This window comes from Homo sapiens, chromosome 3 (assembly GCF_000001405.40).
Source record: "Homo sapiens chromosome 3, GRCh38.p14 Primary Assembly".
NCBI lineage: Eukaryota > Metazoa > Chordata > Mammalia > Primates > Hominidae > Homo > Homo sapiens.
Window position 1 is genome coordinate 94,964,090 of NC_000003.12, and position 24,735 is coordinate 94,988,824.

At 34.7% G+C, this 24,735-nt stretch overlaps 1 long non-coding RNA gene across 1 annotated transcript in view; it reads left to right on the forward strand.

The window, feature by feature from the left end:
• LINC00879 (long intergenic non-protein coding RNA 879) overlaps nucleotides 1-24,735 on the forward strand; it is a 53,066-nt gene that overhangs the window by 25,827 nt on the left and 2,504 nt on the right. Inside the window, exons 3-5 of the long non-coding RNA NR_015400.2 lie at nucleotides 7,182-7,265; nucleotides 16,281-16,450; nucleotides 24,457-24,590. This is a non-coding gene — a long non-coding RNA (long intergenic non-protein coding RNA 879). The remainder of the gene's footprint in view (nucleotides 1-7,181; nucleotides 7,266-16,280; nucleotides 16,451-24,456; nucleotides 24,591-24,735) is intronic.

The following is a 24,735-nucleotide window of genomic DNA, read 5'->3' on the forward strand; positions in this document are numbered from 1 at the left end:
GAAGAGCTAAAATTAGAATAGAGATAACAAGTTTATGCCGCAGTTCTGCTTTTCCTATGTATATTTTTAACTCATCAGGCTCATCATTGAATGACAATAATAGTGTATATTATTATCGCATTTTTGAGGAAACTACATACTGTGTTCCATAGTGAGTGTACCATCCTACATTCCTATCAATCGTGTATAAGGGTTCTAATTTCTCCACATCCTCACTGACACTTGTTATCTTTTTTTTTTTTATAATAGTCATCATAACAGATGAGAGGTGATAATTCATTGTGGTTTATATTTGCATTTTTCTGATGATTAGTGGTATTGAGTATCTTTTCATGTAACTGTTGGACATTTGTATGTTTTCTTTGGAGAAATGTCTATTTAAGCCCTTTGCTCATTTTTAAATTAGGTTTTCTTTTCTTTTTCTTTTTTTTTCTTTTGCTATTGAGTTGTAGGATATCCTTACACATTCTGCTCATATAGTTTGAATATTAACCAAACCATGAGATAGATGGTGTGCAAATAGTTTCTCCCATTTCATATGATGTCTTTTTCATTCTTGATCATTTTCTTTCCTGTACAGAAGCTTTTCAATATGAAGTAGTCCCATTTATTTTGAGGGGTTTTGTTGTCTGCGTTATCAGTGTCAAATTCAGGAAATAATTGCCCAGACAAATGTCAAGAAATTTTTCCCTTGTGTTTTCTTTGAGAAGTTTTTCAGTTTCAGATCTTACATTTGTCTTTAATACATTTTGAGTTGACTTTCATATATCGTGTAAGATAGGGGTCCAATTTCATCCTTTTGCATATGGAAATTCAGTTTCCCTAGCATTATTTGTTTAAGAGACTATAATTTTTCCCATGTATTCTTGGCACCCTTGTTGATCAACTGAAAATATTTACATCCATTTATTTCTAGGGTCTCTATTTTGCTACATTGGTTTATATTTTTGTCTTTATACCAATATCATACTATTTAAATTACTGTAGCTTTGTAATATATTTTAAAGTAAGTAAGTGCAATGCCTCCAGCTTTTTCTTCTTTCCCAAGACTACTTTGGTTATTTGGAGTTTTTTGTGGTTCCATATGAATTTAAAAATTGGTTTTTCCTATTTCTGTGAAAAATGACATTGAAATTTGATAGGATTATATTAAATCTGTAGATCACTTAAATAGTACAGATATTTTAATAATATTAATTCTTCCCAACAAACAACATGGGATGTTTTCCTTTTATTTGTGTTTAATTTCTTTCATCAGTGTTTAATAATGTTTTGTTTTTGTTTTTTATTTTTATGTTTTTTAGTCTTTAGGGTTTTCTATATACAAGAACATGTCATCTGCAAACAGAGACATTTTAAATTCTTCTTTTCCAATATGGGTGCCTTTTATTGCCTAATTGCTGTAGCTAAGATTTCTAGTACTGAGTTGAATGGAAGTAGTAAGACTGAGCATTTTCATGTTGTTGCTGATTTTATAAGTTCCCTGACTTCCTACAACAGAACAGCTTTTATTTTTTCACAATTGAGTATAATGTTAGCTGTGGATTTCTTATATGTGGACTTTATGATGTTGTGGTACATTTCTTGTATACCCAATTCGTCAAGCATTTTTATCATGAAAAGGTGTAAAATGTTGTTGAATGCTTTTTCTACATCTGTGGATGACTGTGTAGTTTTTATCCTTCATGTTGTTAAAATGATGTAGCACATTTATTGATTGTCTTTTGAACAATCCTTGCTCCTTGGGATAAATCACACTTGATTACGGTGTATAATCTCTTTAATGTATTTCCATGAATTTTGTAAATCAAACTACAATTAAGCTTTCATCTCTACCAGTACAACAAAACAGTCTTTGCCAACTCAGCAATGATCTTCACTTTGATATACCACGTTTCATTCTTAGTCTTTTATTACTTCTGTCAATAGAATTTGATACAGTTGCCCACTTCCTCATTCTTCAAACACTTTTGCACATTTTCCTTGGTTCATTTCCTATATCATTAGTTGCTGTTTTTCTGTCTTCTTTGCTGTTCTCTTCTAACTTGTTTACTTTACAGTACCCAAGGTTCAACCTATGAACCCCTTCTCTTTTCTAGTGTCACTCACTGTTTCTTATTGACATTGCTTTAAGTGTTGTCTTAAAGTTTTATGACTTTCTACTATACTTATCCAGCCCTGATATTATCCCTCATGTACAGACTGGTATATAAATTGTCGAGTTGACATTTTCAGTCAGGTATACAAAAGCACCCAAGAACTAGCATTCAAAAGTTACCTTTTTATTTTCATGTCTTATATTGCAATTTTTGCAACCATATCCATCTCAGAAAATGTAACTCAAATATTCTAATTGATAGAAATAAAAAATGTGGAATTACAGTGGGCTGGTCTCTTTCTTTCACATCACTTCTTAGTAAATATTGTAGGCCCACTTTAAAATGTATTCCAAATCAGAGTGATTTTCACTACCACTACAACCCTGGCCTAAGCTGCCATCATTCATATCTGTATTACTGCAATAACTTTCTCACCTATCTCATTCCTTCTGCCCTTGTCCTCCTGTAGTGTATTCTTCATAGAGCAGTCTATCTGATTTAAATCTCATCATATCACCCCTCTGTCCAAAAGTCGTTAGTAGCTTTCATCATACTCAGAGGAAATAAAGTGTCTAACAAGGCTGTATCAGTTCATTTCCTAGTGGCAACAGATGGCCTATTCAAACTAGATAACTGAATCTATTTACAGAGGTCTGATTAGTGTTTATGGAGACCAACACAGTAGAAAGTGGTCTTGGCCAGTCGCAGTGGCTCACGCCTGTAATCCCAGCACTTTGGGAGGCTGAGATGGGTGGATCGCGAGGTCAGGAGTTTAATACCAGCCTGGCTAAGATGGTGAAACCCCATCTCTACTAAAAATACAAAAAAATTAGCCGGGTGTGGTGGCAGGTGCCTGTAATCCCAGCTACTGGGGAGACCGAGGCAGAGAATTGCTTGAACCCTGGAGGCTGAGGTTGCAGTGAGCCAAGATCACACCACTGCACTCCAGCCTGGGTGACAGAGCGAGATGCTGTCACAAAAAAAAAAAAAAAAGAAAGAAAAAGGAAAAAAGAAAGTACAGTCTTCTGGGTTTTGTAGGTGGAATTTTTTTAGAGAAGTAGATTCTGAGACTGAGTTTGGCATACAGGATGTTTATTAAGGAGTGCTCTCAGATCCAGGACCAACAGCTGTGGAAAAGAAAAAAAAGGAAAAAACCAACATTGGATAGAGATAAGATTCCAGCACAATGTGAGCTCAAGACAACCACAGCTAACCATGTGGTAGTAGCTCAGTAGCTAAAATCAGAGTTGCTTGAGTTATGCTGCCCCAGAGGAGGTGGAGGTGGGTAACGCATTCTTTGTCGAAGGGCAATCTGAGTGAAGCATTGCAGTTTCCACCATAAAAGAAGGTCTAGGCCTGCCAGTTAATAAAAAGAAAGAATTACTTGTACCAAGAATGTGGAGATGTTTACTTTATAGTAGCTTAGTGTTTAGTAAAAGGATGCTATCATCCTAAGCCAAGCAATGGGATTAAGCCAGGACAAAAATATACTTATCTGCCTTTCCTTTAGCTTCTAGCCTCCAACAGGTACCCCCTCCCCACCCACCCATTGCTCAATCCAGATATCAAAACTGCCTGTTGAGGTAGTACATACAGGCTTGACTGCTGGTTTCTAAGACAAGATAGACAAGGGTCGTGAGTAAATACAATAAAAAATAGAAGAATGTTTGCTTCTGGATCAGCATTTTTTAAAGATTTATTTTACCTTTACTGCTGCTATACCATATTTCCTTCTAGAGTCCATCTGTTTCCAATTAGGAAAACAAAGTTTACATCAGATAGTTTCATAGAGAAAATACAGGGAACGAATTACAGATAGAAAAACTGAAAGTTCAAACTGGGGAAATTGAGGAAACGGTATTTGTAACTGTAGGAAGCTGCAACCTAAGACAGGAAGAATCAAATTACAAGGTGTTATTACTGGAGACCAGAAGTTGGTGCCACCTATTATAGGCTTGATCCATTGTAGGGATGCCAGATTGGAGCTGGACCATAGAGATGACACAATTATTTTAGAGAAGCTGTCTAAATGGGTAGTGATGCTCTCTGCATTTTCCCTTCTCCTCCTCTGTAATATTCCTGAGCAAAAGCTCACAGGAAGACAAAGGGGAGGGGAATCTAGAAAATGCAGAGGCAGAGAACTGACATAAGATAGAAAAAGAAAATTACCAGCCAATTCCTCTTCTCTCCTTTCTGACTTTACTTGCTTCTCTCAAAACAGCATCATGACTAAAGCTTATGTTCCAGATCAGTTGCACCAGGATTCTTGCTCTGCCACTTACTAGTGTGAGCCCTAATGACCTATTTTAGCTACCTTACTTGCCACTTATCTAGTAAATGGATATGGTAATAATACGACCTGCATACTAAAATGGCTATAGGAATTAAAAGAGAAAATGCACATAAAGTTCCTGAACAGTGTCAGGCATACAAACAATTTAATACATTCCAGCTGCTATTATTTTGTCCCTGTAAATGTTAAGATAAGTCTGAGAGAAGACCTAGTTTCTAAGGAGAAAAGATTGGGAAACAGCATTTGGATTCCAGGAAGGTTGCAGTTCTGATTATTTGTATAGTTTTTAGTAGTGTCTCAACTCTGATCTAGTATCACATCAGAATCATCTAGGGATCTTGTTAAAAATGAATATCTTGGGCAACATCAATTCCAAGTGTAATATAATGAATAGGGGCATAGAACATTTAACAAGTTTTTCAAGTAATACTATGCACAAAAACTTAAGAAACAGTGCCAAATGAACCCTGAGAAAACAACTCCCCCTTCCTTTTTATCTCCCATTTACTGAATGAGCTGCATATGGAGGTACTTGGATTTGTAAGTGATTGCATGGGCATCTCTTCCGGGATCCAGGTAACAGGTTTCACTATCAAGTCATCACAAATTTGGAACTGGTTTATGTTTGAACTTTGGTGCTTCTTGTAAATTTTTCTCTCCCCTTTGGCTATTTTCACTCTTACTGGAGACAACAAAAACAGCAATACCGTATTTGTGCTTTTCTTAATATCCAAGGGAGTGATAAAGTTGGTCAAGCTGACCTCACAATATTTTGATAGGTTTTGTTGCTGTTGTTTTTAAAAGAACACTGTTTTTAGAGAACAAGCATCTAACCTATTTTACATGAAAACTCAAATATCACGGATTCACCAAAATCTTTAAAAAATACTCAAATCAAATGTGTCTGCTGAATTGTTGTGATTCTTTACTTCTTTGCAGGTACACAGCTTTTTCTTGTTTTAAAAAAATTTTATGTATCAAGTTTTTCTCACATGACACATAATCACAGAATTTCCACTCATTAAGCCTCATACTTTATACTGTTAAAAATTAGTTTTTATAATTAAAACCCAGAAAAATTATACTGAAGAATGGAATACTTTTAAAAGTGTAAAATAGTATCTGTAATCTGAGGATGTGGTGTTTTCTTCTCAATCATATAATCCAGTGTTTTCTGTTCAATCCTAGATTTATAAAATAAGTATAGTGTTATTTATGTTGCTGCTTTAGTGCAGCAGGAATAAAGACCATTTCACGATGGGAAAAACTGAACATATTAGTGGAATGATTGACTCATGGGGTATCAGACATATCAAGTAAGCTAAAAGCAAGATTAGTAAACAATGATTTCATTTCATGTTTTATTCAAGTTAAATCAAATTTATCATAATTGAAATAGTTTTACTGATTTCAGTCATTGAAATGACTCCCTGATCACAGTCAAATTAAAAATATTCTATACAGTATGCACATTTATGAAACTCCCAAAGGATCCAACTTACACTTAATTTCTAGACTTCGCTCCACTGATTATAACTTGTATATTTCCTTCATCTTCATGTGAAATAAGTTAGGAGTGGAATTATTTAGAGTTTATCACAATTTTTAGGCATACTTAGAACTTGTCTTAATCTATTGCATTTGTTTTTTTGTATCTGACATCCCACATAACATTGATGGCTCTCAGAATTTTTTTTTTTTAAGTATTTTCCATCTGGTGTACTTAGGCTTTGACACAGACCCATAGAAATTTCCTGGTGAATAACAATATATATGACTTTAGTTGCTCCAAAGATCATGATTATTATTCCAGTTTCTCCTTCTTGTGGAATAACAAGGAAAATTCAGCAAAATTATTACTTCTAAATGTGTTCCATAAACCATTGTTAAATCACCATGTCTCAACAGCCTGTCTTCTTTCAAAGTTTACACACCATTTATTTAAAACACACCCGAAACACTCTCATCTACTACTGTCCAGGATAGTTGCTGACCTGCTAAAAAAAACTTTAGCACAACATTCATGTCTCCATCCCAGTCTCTGTCTTTTCTTTGTTTACATCAACAGAAGAATTGATCATTTTAAAGTATGTTTGATATACATTGACTTCTTCCCCACTTATGAGTATTTCATCTATTTCTTTTCAACTATCCTTAGATTGAAATAACACAAAATATTTTTAGATAGAACCAGTCTACTTCTAATATTTAAAATAACGTATGCTATAATTTCATTTCTTCTACACTAAGCACACCATAGGCTCTTCTAAAAAAAAACCCACTGGTTGCTAATATTCCACAAAATTAAGTGAAAATTTTCTGACTGATATGGAGACTTATCTACAAACTGACCTAAATTTATCTTTCTAATCTGTGTCCCAATAATATAAATAATCTAGGAATTTATTTATAATTCCCAGACTGTAGTGGCCATTTTATAGCCAATGCTTGCATATTGTTTTTGGCTGACATGTTCTCCTCTACCAAAAAAGGACTTACTCTTGTCTATGTTCTAATATTCTTTAAGAAAATATTTAAATATGAGGATCCTATAGAGGATGTCTTAACAGCAAAATAAGTACTATTTACATTATTGTTGGAAGTAGTAATCGTATTTATAGGTAAGAAAAAGAACATGAACAAATTTTCTGTTATTTAAGGCTGTTAAGAATGTTTACTATCTCTGGAACATAATAGATATTCTCCTCAAATATGTAAATTCAGATAACAATAAATGACATGAAGCAAATGATAACTAAAAATAAATATTTTTCTTTCCATTGCAATAGCTTTCCCACAGTTAGATCATCAGCAAATGTCACTTGGATCCCTAGCTAAATTGTTCTTCCCAGAAAATAGTTATCTCCACTATGGTAAGAGTTGTCGTTATAAAATTTAAAAACAATTATAGCATACCTTTAATAATTAAACATTTAACATTTGAGTGATTTCACATTACTGAAATATGGATTCCAGTTTATGAATGTGGCTTCCAAGGCTTTGAGGATATTTTATACTATTTAACTCTTTTCCACTCTTCTTTTTAATATCCACCCTTGAATTCTATCTCCATTTTCACCAGACATCTTGTAGTTATTCTAATATCTTATGTTCTTTCACTCCTGGCCTTGGCACAGTTTATTTTCTTAATCTAGAAGATAATTTTCTATTCCCCCACAATATTTTTTGTTTAACTCATAATTTTTTAATTTTATTTCAAATGCTAGTCTAGATATCACTTCATTTATGAATCCATTCCTTACTTTAGAAGCCATTCTAAGTACTACAGTAACACTGCACTTCCAGTGTTATAAATATCATACTCTTTAATATTTGCTTATCTTCTTCCTCTGGTATAGTATTTGTTCACTCAGCCCGGGTAGCATACATCGAGTGTGCTTTGCTGATTCCTTATCACCCAAGATAATTTTAGGAACATTGTAATCCTCCAGTCAACCTTTGCTATATAAATGGATGTGGATTAGTGGATAAAGGTTTAAAATTCATGAAATTTTGGATTGTAGATTAAGCTTGAAAATTTGGGGAAGGGACTTCCCTTCTCCATATACACATTGTATTACTCCTTTGTGTTGTTGTAAATACATATTTAAGGCTTAGTAATTTACAAAGAAAAGAGATTTATTCAGCTCACAGTTGTTCTGCAGGCTGTACAAGAAGCATGGTGCTGGTGTGTACATTGGGTGAGTGCCTCAAGCTGTTTCCACTCATGAAGAAATGGGAAGGGGAATCCATGCATGCAGAGATCACATGGTGAGAGAGGAAGTAAGAGAGAGAGAGGAAGTGCCAGGCTCTTTTGAACAACCAGCTCTCTTGGGAGCTAGTAGAGTGAGAACTCATTCATTACTGTGAGGACAGCACCAACACATTCATGAGGTCTCCACCTTGTAATCCAAACACTTCCCTCTAGGCCCTACCGCTAACATTGAAGATTAAATTTCAGTGTGAAATTTGGAGGGACAAACATCCAAACTATAGCACACAAACATAACTGAAAACATGTTTAATTAAATATATGGGACTTAAGTCAAGTGCCTATGGCGGAAAGAACTGTCAAATGGTTTGGAGTGTTAGGCTGTCAATAGTGATGCATATATCCCTAATAAAATCAAGAAAGAAGCCAAAATTTCACTAAGCCACAGCCCTTTTACAGAGAAGTTTGTATTAACCATTGGAAATAATCTGCTCTAAAAATCTAGATACTTTCATGTACAGGAATGCTGCAAGGGTAATTCCTTGTCCAGGAATGAAAAAGCAGAGAATACCTGGTGTTCCTGAACAAAGTAACTCTTCTTTACTCCAAGGAACCATGGCCCAATAAAGCTTACTAGAAAAGTAGGTTAAAAGAAAATAATGAAATAAAATAAAATAAAATATTAGAGAGTGTATTTGATAAGTACTAGAAAAATCTAAAGATGGCAAATTTCATTAAGCATTCCAAGCATCTATGTCAAGGCATAGCTGAGAGGATCTCTGCTCTCAGAACTTTCTCTAAACTAATAGGCATAACTGTGTGTATGTGTTTTTCAGTTTTCTTATCATCCTGCTCAGACATCTTCATTCAAGCTTACCATGCATGAACAAGATTTGTTTATCAAACAACTTCCTTAATATATCTAAGATCTGGAGGACTAGTAACCCATATATGATGTGTTGATACCCTCAACAGAATGCCTAGCTTGGTGTTTATTGTTGTAAAATTAATTGAATTTTTATTCTTCTTTCTCAATATGTTTCTTTTTTTATTTATCTCAACTGGTTGCCTAAGTTTCTATTTTTTACTCTAACCTTCACCATCACAGTTCATTTATTTTCTGCCTAAAATATCAAATATCAATCACTGATGGTTTTTCAGCTGCATGTAAAGATACTTTCATCTGGTGGTGGCAACTGTGACAGGGGGCGGAGCCGCCTGGATCACACTTTGTCTGTGGAGGCAGTATTCTAAAATGTCAATTTATGAAAATCAGCAATCCTAAGAGGACTCATAGACCCTCTGAAGGAGGGAGACTGCTCCTGCAGGACCCAGGAGACACCACAAATACTGTGAGTGCCCCAACGGTGGAAGTGGGTAAGGGAGAGCCTCCTCTCCCGAACACACACACCCACTGGAGAAACTGAAGAAGTCACAGCAATACCTGCCCAAGGAGAGTCTGAGCTCAGACACACTGAGCCCTGTCCCCTCCTGATGATCCTTCCCTACCCACCCTGGTAGTGGAAGACAAAGGGCATATAATCTTGAGAGTTCTAGGGCCCCACCCAACACTGGTTCCTCTCCATACTACCACAGCTGATGCTTTCTGGAAAGTGCCAACTCCCAGCAAGATGCCAACCAGCACAAAAATGGAGCTTTAAACCGCCAAAGCTAAGAACGCTCATGGAGTCTATTAACCCCCCCTCTCCCCACCACTTCCACTTGAACAGGTGCTGGTATCCACAGCTGAGAGACCCATAGAAGGCTCACATCACAGGACTCTGCAGACAACCCCCAGTACCAGCCTGGAGGCAGGTAGACCTTCTTGGTGGCTAGACACAGAAGAGAGATAACAATCACTGCAGCTTGGCTCACAGGAAGCCACACCATAGGAAAAGGGGGTACATCAAAGGAAGACCCTGTGGGACAAAAGAATCTAAACAACAGCCTTCAGCCCTAGACCTTCCCTCTGACAGAGCCTACCCAAATGAGAAGGAACCAGAAAACCAACTCTGGTAATATGACAAAACAAGGCTCATTAACACCCCCAATATCACACTAGCTCACCAGCAATGTATCCAAACCAAGAAGAGATCTCTGATTTATCTGAAAACAGTTCAGGAGGTTAGTTACTAAGCTAATCAGGGAGGCACCAGAGAAAGGCAAAGCCCAATGCAAGGAAATCAAAAAAATAATACAGAAGTGAAGGGAGAAATATTCAAGGAAATAGATGATAGCTTAAAGAAAAAAAAATTCAGGAAACATTGGACACACTTATAGAAATGCAAAATGCTTTGGAAAGTTCTCAGTAATAGAATTGAATAAGTAGAAGAAAGAAATTCAGAGCTCAAAGACAAGATCTTTGAATTAACCCAATCCAACAAAGACAAAGAAAAAAAGAATAAGAAAATATGAACAAAGACTCCAAGAAGTCTGGGATTATGTTAAATGATCAAACCTAAGAATAATTGGTGTTCCTGAGGAAGAAGAGAATTCTAAAAGCTTGGAAAACATATTTGGGGGAATAATCCAGGAAAACTTCCCTGGTCTTGTTGAAGACTTAGAAATCCAAATATAATAAGCACAAAAAACACCCGGGAAAATCATCACAAAAAGATCATTGCCTAGGCACATTGTGATCAGGTTATCCAAAGTTAAGATGAAGGAAAGAATCTTAAGAGCTGTGAGGCAAAAGCACCAGGTAACCTATAAAGGAAAACCTATGAGATTAACAGCAGATTTCTCAGCAGAAACCCTACAAGCTAGAAAGGATTGGATGCCTATCTTCAGCCTCCTCAACCAAAACAATTATCAGCCAAGAATTTTGTATCCAGCAAACTAAGCATCATATATTGAGGAAAGATAGTCTTATTCAGACAAACAAATGCTGAGAGAATTTGCCATTACCTAGCCACCACTACGGGAACTACTAAAAGGAGCTCTAAATCTTGAAACAAATCCTGGAAACACATCAAAACAGAATCTCTTTAATGTGTAAATCACACAGAACCTATAAAATGAAAATACAAGTTAAGCAAAAACAAAAAACAAAAACAAAGTAGCAGGCAACAAATAACACAATGAATTAAACGGTACCTCACATCTCAATACTAACATTGAATGTAAATGGCCTAAATACTCCACTTAACTGCAGAATGGCTAAGAATTCACCAATCGACAATCCATTGCCTTCGGGAGACTGACCTAACACATAAGGACTCACATAAACTTAAAGTAAAGGGATGGATTTCATGCAAATGTATGTCAAAAGCAAGCAGGGGTAGCTATTATATCAGACAAAACAGACTTTAAAGCAACGGCAGTTAAAAAAGACAAAAAGGGACATTATATAACGGTAAAAGGCATTGTCCAACAGGAAAATATCACAATCCTAAACGTATATGCACATAACACTGGAACTCCCAAATTTATAAAACAATTACTAATAGATCTACAAAATTAGATAAACAGCAACACAATAATAGTGGAGGACTTCAATACTCCACTGACAGCACTAACAGGTAATCAAAACAGAAAGTCATCACAGAAACAATGGATTTAAACTATACTTTGCAACAAATGGACTTAACAGATATATACAGAACATTTCATCCAACAACCACAGAATACACATTGTATTCAACAGTGCCTGGAACTTTCTCCAAGATAGACCACATGATAGGGCATAAAATGATCCTCAATAAATTTAAGAAAATTGAAATTATATCAAACACTCTCTCAGACAACAGTGGAATAAAAGTGGAAATCAACTCCAAAAGGAAACTTCAAAACCATGCAAATACATGGAAATTACATAACCTGCTCCTGAATGAGTATCGGGTCAAAAACAAAACCAAGATGGAAATTAAAAAATTCTTCAAACTGATTGACAGTAATGACACAACCTATCAACCTATTAAAACCTCTGGGATACAGCAAAGGCATCTTTCTATGAGGAAAGTTCATAGCCCCAAACACTTAATCAAAAAGTCTGAAATAGCACAAACTGACATTCTAAGGTCGTATCTTAAGGATATAGAGAAATAAGAACAAACCAAACCCAAACCCACCCAGCAGAAGAAAGGAAATAACCAAGATCAGAGCAGAACTAAGTGAAATAAAATTGAACCAAAAAATAAATACAAAAGATAAATGAAACAAAAAGCTGGTTCTTTGAGAAGATAAATAAAATGGATAGACCATTAGCAATATTAACTTGTAGCAATCTCACTTGTAGACACACAAAAGACTTGAAATTCATTTGCTGAAGACATATTTGCATGCCCATGTTGATTGCAGCATTATTTACAGTAGCCAAGTTATGAAATCAACCTCAGTGCATCAATTAATCAAATACCACTTAAAAAGTGGTATATATACATAATATAATACTATTCAGCCTTAAAAAGAAAGAAACTCATTTACAACAATATGAATGGAATTGGAGAGCATTATGCTATGTGAAATAAACCAAACAGTGAAAAATAGATGCATGTTCTCACTTACATGTGGAATATAAAACAGTTGAACTCACAGAAGCGAAGAGTTAAATGGTGGTTACCAGAGGCTGGGTTAGGGGGAATGGGGAGATGGTAATCAAAGGGTACAAAGTCTCAGTTATTAGAAGGAATAAGTTTGAGGGTTTTTTCGCAGTCTATCTCACACCATGGTGAATATGGCTGATAATAATAATTTTTTTTTGAGACTGAGTTTCACTCTTGTTGCCCAGGCTGGAGTGCAATGGCATGATCTCGGCTCACTGCAACCTTCACGTCCTGGGTTCAAGCAATTCTCCTGCCTCACCCTCCCAAGTAGCTGGGATTACAGGTGCTCACCATCACGCCTGGCTAATTTTGTATTTTTTTAGTAGAGAGGGAGTTTCACCATGTTGGTCAGGCTGGTCTTGAACTCCTGCTCTCAAGTGATCCACCTGCCTCGGCCTCCCAAAGTGTTGGGATTACAGACATGAGCCCCCACGTCCGGCCCTATAGCTAATAATTGAATACTGTACATTTCAATACTGCTAAAAGAGGAAATCAAACATTCTCATCAGAAAAAAATTAAACATTTGAGAGCATGGATAGGTTATTCAGCTTGATTTACTGATTCCATAAAAATAATAAATATATCATAGCATCACTTTGTACCATACAAATGTATACAACTATAATTTGTCAATATTTAATAAACAAAGGTAAACTTAAGGGTTCTGATGGTCAAGACTCTTTCTCTGACATCACTGAATTTAAACAGCAGTCTTCTCTGTTCAGCATAAGGTTTATGATCTTCATGAAGACAAGGTTTGTGTGGAAATAAATACAGACAGGAGTTGTTGCTGTTCCACTTTGGCACAGAAGTTGGATCATGAAGGTGATAAGTGGTGAGATTTAAATGCTAGATGATGAGAAGTCCAGTAGGGACAAAGGAGCTTTGAAATAAAAAAAATGATTGGTATGATATTTATTTCACTTATTTTCTAATTAAGTATAATACAGTATGGCCCAAACCTGAATAATGCAAATAAACAGTCATTTGTTATTAACAAGTTATAATTATTTTACATAAATTTAAACAAATACTGTTACTTTGGAAATATGCCCTGTTTGGTGACAGAAAATTCAATTTTATTGCTGTTTCTATTTAACCACCTGTCTTGTTTTACATTTTAAAAATTATTCAAATTAGAAACCATAAGGTATTACTTGCTAAATAAGATCCATCTGGAGGCTATAAGTATCCTCAATCTTAAGGTGTGCTATGGTTTTGGTATGGTTTGTTTGTCCCCAACAAAACTCACGTTGAATTTTGATTCCCAATAATGTGGTTTGGGGAGGTACTGCCTGGGCCTAGTGGGAAGTGTTTGATCTATGGGGTGGATCCATCATGAAGGGCTTGGTGCTGTTCCTGCAGAGGTAAGTTCTTGCTCTCACAAGATAGTTTACTTCTCTTCAGACTGGATTAGTTCTCTTGAGAGGGACTTGTTTAACCCAGGACACCCCACAGGTTTCTTTCTCTTTGCATGTGTCTGCTTCCCCTTTCACCTTCTTTGCTAAGTTGCAATGCAGCACTAATGTCCTAGTCGGAAGCCAGAGCCATGTCCTTGAACCTCTCAGCCTGCAGAAACAAGAGCTAAATAAACCTCTTTACCCAGTCTCAGGTATTATTTCATAGCAACATCAAGTGGACTAAGCAAACTAACACATGAATAGAAAACCAAATACCACATGTTCTCACTTGTAAGTGGGAGTTAAATGATGAGAACACATGAACACACAGAGAGGAACAACACACACTGGGGCCTATCAGAGGGTGAAGAGTAAGAGGAGGAAGGGGATCATGAAAATTAACTGATGGATACTAGGCTTAATGCCTGGGCGATGCAATAATCTGTACGACAAACCCCCATGACACACATTTAGTTGTAACTAACCAGCACATCCTGGACATGCACCGCTGAGCTTAAAATAAAAGGTAAGAAAAAGAATAATGAATGCACACTAAAAAATTGGACTAAGACAAAGTGTCATCAAAGAATATTTTGATGCTGCTACCATATCTGCCTAAAGCATATACTGTATATTATAAATGTCGTCTTTCTAGTTTTACTCTATTTCGTTCCTTTTCATCACCTTACCTTCAAGTTTCTATGGGAAATCTATAGGGGAAAAGAGTCGTGAAAAATTTCCTAGGATCACCTTGAAACAATATTTTTACTGTGAGGTTTAATTCTGGGAGAGTTTTACCTCATCACAGATATGGGTATCTCCCCCTTTAACAGGAACATTACGGCATTTTTTAATATAAGATTTGAAATTGGGTTTTGCTTATGTATGCAACTGCTTGTCATTTGGTCTAGCTTCTATATGAAACTATTTGCATAGAACTATTTCTGTGTTTTAACATGTATCTCATTTGTGATACATACATATATGTATGATATGGTTTGGCTCTGTGTCCCCACCCTAATCTCATGTTGAATTATCATCCTCAGTGTTGGAGGAGGGACCTGATTGGAGGTGATTGGATCATGGGGGCAGATTTCCCCCTTGCTGTTCTTTTGATAGTGAGTGAGTTCTCACAAGATCTATTTGTATAAAAGTATGTAGCACTTCTGCCTTCATTCCCTCTTCCACCTGCTCCACCATGTGAAGAAGGTGCTTGCTTCCCCTGCACTTTCTACCATGAATGTAAGTTTTCTGAGGCCTCCCCAGCCATGTTTCCTGTACAGCCTGCAGAACTGTGAGTAAATTAAACCTCTTTTCTTCATAAATTACTCAGTCTTAGGTAGTTCTTTATAGCAATGTGAAAATGGACTAATACAATGTATGTATAAATATACATATATATGTATATACACATATATACATACATACGTGCTATATACATATATATGTATATACACATATATACATACATATGTGTTATATACATAGAGTAAAAACTCTCCCAGAATTAAACCTCACAGTAAAATTATAGTTTCAAGGTAATCCTATATATATGTACATGTGCCCATGTATATGTGTGTATGTGTATACATATAATTAGCCATGTTGATCTGAGTAATTTTGATAATTTGCTTTCATTCAATTCTCTGTTAAGAATTTGAAAAATTTTAGTTAAATGCAGAAAAAACAATTGAGGAAAACCTTAGGAATGAATTTTCCTTGGGACAATGTAGTGTTGGTATGGCAGTAATGGGAAGAAGCAACTTGTTTTAGGAAAAAAAACTAATTCTCTTCTAACATTCCTTATCTAATGTGCAAATATCCATATCTAAAAAGTAAAATGTTACTAGAAATCAAAACAAAATAACATTACACTATATCCATGACATGAGTCATCTTTTTTAAAAACAATTATTGCTTTCACTTTTTACTTCTTCACTTAAAATTCAAAGAGAAAAAGCAGCTGTCATCTGTAGGAGGAAGACATATACATTCATATTTGATAAGTTTAAGTTCCCATGAAAAAGCAACAAATAAAATAAAACAAAAGCAGATCTAAAAAAGACCTAATTTAATTCAGTACCTTAGAGAAATTTAAAAATATTTACAGTGAGTTAAAACAGGTAGATCATTTATTTTTCCACATTTCACTTGTAGCTTTTTTCATTTCTTGACATTTAAAAGTACAGTTACATTTTTATCTTATTATCTTATTTTGTTTCATGAAACAGGAAAGTATTTTATCAGAAGAATTCGTAGAAGTAGAATCTGTTTGTCTTCAGTTAAACAAAAGAAGAACCTCATTGCTTTCCAACTGGGCCCCGGCCATTTTCCAGTTGAAACATCAAATATTTTATTTGTGTCTTTCACTGCCAATTAAAGGGCAACAGAAATGGTACAGGTAAATCATCTTCTCTTTGGAGGTCTTTCCAAAGAAGACTTTAATTCAAGCATTTCCTAGAGTATGTACCATAAAGTCTTATCTGCAGATTTAGACTTGAATATGCATTACATCATTGGAAAATATTATGTCACTGAAATTGGAAAAGGTTGAGTTAAACAAAACTAAACTATTAACTGTATTACAAGATCTCTGAGATTTTGGTTTGGTAGCTTCCAGGGGCGTCTTACGTAGTGATGCTGTTTAGGGGCATCTAGAGATCAGGAACAACACTTGTTCTGCTGATACAGATTTGGGAATGAAATCTGAAAAGGCATGAAATAGACTGGTAGAAGGGAAAAAATGTTAAGAAAAGAGCATTCATATTTTATTCTAGGTAACAGCTTGATAAGTTGATACAGAGGGAGGAGAATAATAAAAAGAACACAAGCAAATATTTAGAGAAGTATCAGTGAATTATAAGGTTTTTATGTGATTTTTCTAGGGTCTTTGTTGATTTGTCAAAGAAAATCAAGAAAAATAGCATACACTTTCTTCTTTAAACCCCTTTTGTGTATATGCTTTTGTGTCTGTGTGTATAAAATATGTTTATAAATACATTAAACTATTTTTACTAATTAATTCACACAGGTCATTTTCTATTATAGTCAGGATCAGTTATACTGTGGTAGTTAGTAGTAAATAATTTATTTATAAAATGTTAAAAAGGTTCCCAAGGACTTGCACTTTGTTCATTAATTTTTTTAATTATAGTTTTGAAATATTGCACACATTTGTAAAATGCAAACAATAGTAGAATGGGTCCACATTACTTAACATCAACTTTTCAACAATTATTCTCATATCATTTGATCTATAATATTTTAGATCATATGTTTATAACGATTTTAGTTTTTTAAAAAATTAGCTGCCATGCCATTATTGCTAATTTTTAAAAATACATTTCTTAAAAGCAATTAAATACTAATTAGATAACTGGAATATCTGAAATCTTAAGTCAAATAATATGTATTTTTGACATGTATTTGAAGTATTGCGAATGGTAACAGAAACCAAGCTCTGTGAATTAGGTTTGTTACTGGTGTACCATTCTTTCTAGACCCTCTCAAGCTGACATAGTTAAGAAATACAAGCACATATATTAAACTTTGTGTACACATATCAATAACTATTCCTATATATAAATGTCTGCATCTGTATTAAGCTAAACATGAGTTCATACAGATGTCTCTAACTCTAATCTGTTAACATATGGTTCATTGTAGCCTCCTCTCCTTACTTATCTGTAAACTCCCAGTCTGACAATAAGAACCTGGCTTGTAACGTCTGTCATCCACTTGCTGAATTGTTTAATTTTACTATTCATGTATGTCAGTTTCAGAATTGTTAATTCATACCCACAAGACAATCACCTTAACTAGAGCATCGTACTTAGGTATAGTTTCTTTTAGTTTTATGGATGTTTTAGAAATTCAAATTTCTAAAGTTTCTTAGGTCAGCACCTCTCTCCCAACTCATCACTATTAGTGAGGTTGTTTTATGCATTTTTAATATAGTTAGATTGCATTGTTACATTCTGCATTGCATTGATGGATTCCCCAGACTCTCAAATTATTTTTATTAAAATTTTCATACAATACAGTTTACGATTTGTATAATGTTAATGGCTTTTGACAAACACTGAATGTCATACATCCAACATTACAGTGTCATAGAGCACAATTTTCAATCCTAAAAATTCCCATTCTCTACCTATTCAATATTTACTCTCCTACAACCAAACCCTTGATAACCACTGATTTTTTAAATTATATCTATAGTTTTACCTTTACAAAAATATAATATAATTGGAATAATACATTATGCATCTTTTTTTTAGGCTGGCCTTTTTTCACTTAGCTGTAGGCATTAAACATTCAACCATATATTTTCATGCCTTGATAACTGATCTCTGTTTATCCTTGAATAATATTATTTTCATTGTAGGTACCACAGTTTGTTTATCCATTCATCTGTGGAAGGACATCTTGGTTACTTGTAGTTTATGGTGATTAAAAGTAATGATACTATAAACATTTGTGGACAGGTTTTTGTGTGGACATAGGTTTTCAATTCAATTGCATAAATACTTAGTTGGATTGTATGGTAAGACTATGTTTACCTTTGTAATAACTTCCAAACTGTTTTCAAAAGTGGTTTACCACTTTGAATTTCCACTGTCAATGAAGGGTACTTCTTCCTGCACTGTGCAATCACCATCCACTGATATCCTTACTTTCTATTTCTATTTTTATACTTTAACCATTCTAATAGATGTGTAATGGCATCTCATTGTTTTATTTGGAATTGCTTAATAATGAATAATTAATCATTTTCTTATGTTTATTTGCATTTGCATATCTTATTTGGTAAAATATCTGTTCAGATTTTTAAATTGAATTGTTTTCTTATTGTTGATATTTGAAACTGTTGACCTTTAAACATTCTTTCTATATTTTGAATATAAGTATTTTATAAGAAATTTGTTTTGCAAGTACTTTCTCTTATACTATCAGTTGTTATTTCATTTTGTAACAGTGTATTTCTCACAGCAGAAAATTTTTATTTTATAATGCCTAATATTTCAAATTTGTTAATGAATTGTGCTTTTGGAGTTGTATCTAAAAACTTATCACTAAAATCCAGGCCACCTAAATATTCTGTTGTTTCCTTCTAAAAATTTTAATTTTGTGCTTTATATTAAGGCCTGTAAGTCATTTGAATTAATTTTGTGAAAAAATATATAATATATATTTAAGTTATTTTTTGAGGGATGGGGGGTATTGATGTTCAATCGTTTTAGCATCACTTGATGAAAAGATTATCCTTTCTCTCTTGAGTTGCCTTTCAGCCATTGCCAAAGACAAGTTGACTATTTTTGTGTAAATCTATTTGGGGCTGTATATTCTGTTCTTTTGATTTATGTGTAGATTCTTTCATAAATATTATGCCGCCATGATTGTTGTAGCTTTATAGTAAGTCTTCAGATTTGGACAGTATGGACCTTCCAACTCTTCTTCTTCAGTATCGTGTTGGCTTTTCTAAGTATCTTAGAGAAAAAGCTCAAGTGATGAACTGAAGATAACACCAGGGCTTTATATAGATTAGCAAAGAATGCAACATGACCTAAAGATTGATCCACACAAATTCTCTACACTTTCAAACATGGCTCTGAGAATACTTAAGTTGCCATATGGTACTTGGGTAGGTAGAAAAGACATAATTATAACTAATTTGAGTATGACTTTACCCTCATTGTCTCATTGCAATTTAGAAAAGAATTCTCGATATTTTTGATGACTAACTGTGGTTTTGGGAAATTGCTTTTCCAAAGAAGTAAGTTAACAAAACAATATGGAAATCTTGACACCAGAAGTTTAAATATTAAAGAGAGTAAAACTCTTATACAATAACTCATTATAATAACAAAAGAATATTCCCTAAACAAGTGCAAAAAAATCTAGTAAATATGCTTTAATTGGAGTTTTCACTAGGGTAGGGTAACATCAAATGTATATATATATTTTAATTTATTTTTTGTTATTATACCTTAAGTTCTAGGGTACATGTACACAACGTGCAGGTTTGTTACACATGTATACATGTGCCACGGTGGTGTACTGCACCCATTAACTCGTCATTTACATTAGGTATATCTCCAAATGCTATCCCTTCCCCTTTCCCCCACTCCACAGAAGTGTGATATTCCTCACCCTGTGTCCAAGTGTTCTCATTGTTCAATTCCCACCTATGAGTGAGAACATGCGGTGTTTCGTTTTCTGTCCTTGGTGATAGTTTGCTCAGAACGGTGGTATCTAGCTTCATCCATGTCCCTACAAAGGACATGAACTCATCCTTTTTTATGGCTGCATAGTATTCCATGGTATATATGTGCCACATTTTCTTAACCCATTCTATTATTGATGGACATTTGGGTTGGTTCCAAGTCATTACTATTGTGAATAGTGCTGCAGTAAACATACATGTGCATGTGCCCTTATAGCAGCATGATTTATAATCCTTTGGGTATATACCCAGTAATGGGATGGCTGAGTCAAATGGTATTTCTAGTTCTAGATCCTCGAGGAAACGCCACACTGTCTTCCACAATGGTTGAACTAGTTTACAGTTCTACCAACAGTGTAAAAGCGTTCCTATTTCTCCACATCCTCTCCAGCACTTGTTGTTTCCTGACTTTTTAATGATCGCCATTCTAACTGGTGTGAGATGGTATCTCACTGTGGTTTTGATTTGCATTTCTCTGATGGCCAGTGATGATGACCATTTTTTCATGTGTCTGTTGGCTGCATAAATGTCTTCTTTTGAGAAGTGTCTGTTCATATCCATTGCCCACTTTTTGATGGGGTTGTTTGATTTTTTTCTTGTAAATTTGTTTAAGTTATTTGTAGATTCTGGGTATTAGCCCTTTGTCAGATGGGTAGATTGTAAAAATTTTCTCCCATTCTGTAGGTTGCCTATTCACTCTGATGGTAGTTTCTTTTGCTGTGCAGAAGCTCTTTAGTTTAATTAGATCCCATTTGTCAATTTTGGCTTTTGTTGCCATTCCTTTTGGTATTTTAGTCATGAAGTCCTTGCCCATGCCTATGTCCTGAATGGTATTGCCTAGGTTTTCTTCTAGGGTTTTTATGGTTTTAGGTCTAACATTTAAGTCTTTAATCCATCTTGAATTAATATTTGTATAAGGTTTAAGGAAGGGATCTAGTTTCAGCTTTCTACATATGGCTAGCCAGTTTTCCCAGCACCATTTATTAAATAGGAAATCCTTTCCCCATTTCTTGTTTTTGTCAGGTTTGTCAAAGATCAGATGGTTGTAGACATGTGGTATTATTTCTGAGGGCTCCATTCTGTTCCATTGGTCTATATCTCTGTTTTGGTACCAGTACCATGCTGTTTTTGGTTACTGGAGCCTTGTAGTATAGTTTGAAGTCAGATAGTGTGATGCCTCCAGCTTTGTTCTTTTGGCTTAGGATTGTCTTAGCAATGCGGGCTCTTTTTTTGTTCCATATGAACTTTCAAGTGGTTTTTTCCAATTCTATGAAGAAAGTCATTGGTAGCTTGATGTGGATGGCATTGAATCTATAAATTCAATGGGCAGTATGGCCATTTTCACAATATTGATTCTTGGGCAGTATGGCCATTTTCACAATGTTGATTCTTCCTATCCATGAGCATGGAATGTTCTTCCATTCATCAAATGTATTTTTTAAAAACCAGTTCAGCATGAACACTTACCAAGCCAAAGCACCTTTACAGGCCTGGACGGCTTCTATTGATTAATACTTGCTGTACATCAGGTCTAGCTTTCTCTTTTGTCACAGATGAGAGTGGGAAATTCAAATCCCTTTCAGCTATTTAAAGGAGTAATATTACCAGTGACTCAATTGTCTTTCATTGCCAAAGCAAATAGAGGTTCTCTTGGAATCTTATCTTACATATCCCTAATCTTTAAAATTATGTTTCTAAGTACCTTAGGTTTAATTTTTCAGAAAATGGAATTGATAGATCTACTTTGTGTTTACTGAGCTTCTGTTCACCACGTAAGAACTTAAAAGAAATTTCTGTCAAAGGGGAAAAAGGGATTTACTTCATTTGATGTGACTGTTATATCCATCATAAAATCAGCTTGCAGTAGTTCAGCTCTTAAAAGGATCTTCTAAAAGAATCTTGATAAGTTGACAAGACTATTTTTGCAGTTTTGTTTTTTTAAGAATTAAAGGGATTTTTAAGTTTTTCTCTGAAATGCTCAGGCTATTTGAAGAAATAAATGCTTAATTATAAATTAAATTTCTGTGGGAATGAATAATACTTTAATTTCCAGTAGATAAAGCTAGATCTTGCATTCTTATAATTCTAGCTGATACCAATTATAAATCTAAATTTTTGATATTGTTGCTTCAGAAAAGCAGGGTATCATAAGGGGATGTTTTTAGGCAGACAAGAAATATACATTCTATTAAATAAACAAACCAGAAGTTATTAAATAGCTGCCACATTCAAATTATTGTGACAGATGCTGTTGAGATTATAACAAAAGAATGAATGCTCACAAAATTCTCCCAATCAAGTTTACACAGATAAGATTTTGCTTGCAATAAATGACTGTGAAGCATATTTCATATGAAAAATGATTTCTGAAGTTTTGTTTGGATTTCATTAAAAACAAAATTAAATCAAGAACAAGTAAACCAATTTTTAAAACACGTCTGTAAGTCTAAAAAGCTTTGCTTTTTTTTAAGGCATTTTGGGGTGCTGCAATGATACTTAAATCTTATTTAAGAGTGTGACCAAAAAAGAACTCATCCGAAGGTCTTCATTTAGATATTTCTGACACTATTGAATAAAGAATAAAACAAAACAAAAATTCTCCACATAAACAACAAAAATATTCATTAAAATTAAATAAATCAAATATATTCTGTTATTAATGCCCCAAATGTGTCAGCTTGGTCAACTTAGTAAAAAAAAAAAATACAGTTCCGTGATTTAAGGAATATTTCCGGTTTTTTTTGTGGTATCTCCCTGGTAATCCCCAAATAACAAAATAATATATTTAGTCATAGTCACTTTTTAATTTTTCATCTGATTAATGTGGTGTCTCATACATGCAAACAAAGTACCTTTTTCTGTTGCCTTAATGCCTCTTTACAATGGACCCGATGGGAGATAAGCAGACATTAGACATACAGGTTGATAAAATACTTATGTAAATATAGTAAAACAATGTTGAGACCAAGTATAAGAGAGTGTCGTTATTTTTACTGGTTACAGCAAAATACCTGGGGAGCATTTTGGAAATTAACATTTGGTCACTGTAAGCCAGTATAGATTCCATTACGGTAACTTCCATTGTTTTGGGGCAGACATTTCATCTATGACAGTTTACTTGAGAGTACTGAACATATTTCAGTTTGCCAAAGTAAGATACTCTTGTTTTCTTGCACTGTTTTCCTATGTGCATCGGAAAAATATTACCTTTTTCAGAAATTTTGATTTAATGGTGTTTGATATTAGGCATGTTTTTACACTTAACAGTTATTCAGTGAAAACTAATTCTGCTCATTTTTTGTCTGAAGATATTGAACATGAAAATTTCAATAGGCACCAGTGCTCTTGTTACTTAAGTAAAATAGATTTCTGTGATTTTTATTCCTCTTCTATTATCTTCCTTAATCTACTAAATTACCTTATTCGCTAATATTTAAAACATGTATTTTCTAGGAAACTGTCATGACTACTAAGTTATCAGGCACTTACTGTATGCAAAGTATTTACAAATTGTGTAAATATAGCACTCACCACCATCCCATGTACATGTATGTTCCAGGAAGGAAGTTTTCCTTCCAACTCCACAACTGAATTATAAGGAATAGTATCTGTGAGCTTTCTATAGTCAATCAAAAATATTGGTGTGATAAGTGGAAAACATAAAAATAGATCTCCTGCCATCAAGAAGCAAATAGTAAAACTAGGCAATGTTAGATTAAGTGCTACAGGGTGAGGAGTCCAACTTCAGGTCGAAATGCCATGTGCGATATTTCCGGCCCAAACATAGGTAGTTATAAAAGCTTTACTTCGCAGATCTTAGCAGGGAAATCTTCCGCTTGCGGGGAAATGTGCTGGTACACAGCCAGCACATTTCAGTCTCCGAAGGAGTTGTAGTCAAGGACTCAGCTCTCCCTGCCTGGCCATGTCCTTATGCATAGCTGCATTTTTAGCCCAAGTGCCTTCATTTGGAGGTGTCTTTATTGAGGACTTTAGCAGGGACCTTCCTCAGTCGCCTCTATTGAGAGCTTATGGGTAAAAGAAAAGGCAGGGAAACTTGACACTTTTACTCTACTCTAACTCAGCTTTTTTCCACTGTTAGCCCTTTCTTGCTTTCCCTCTGCCCTTCTCCGTGTCCTCCACACCATCTAGGTCGATAAAACTATGGGATCCTTTTGTTTTAGGCTCCCTCTGCAGTGGAATTACCCTTATGTCTTTTCTGTCTATGCTGATCCACCTGATCTTGAACTGGTGCTATTCCATGGGGAAAATTGGAACATGGGGCAATTAACACTTTCTCCACTTTATCCCATCAACAGTAAGTACTGAAAGGCTTAAATGCTACTTCCATTTTGACTGTTTGTCTTAAGCAGCTACTCTGACGTCCAGAAGCTAGGTTCTCTTTCGAGTTTAGCTGAGCTTCTGACACAGAGAAGAGTATACATGAAAAATACCTGTGTAGC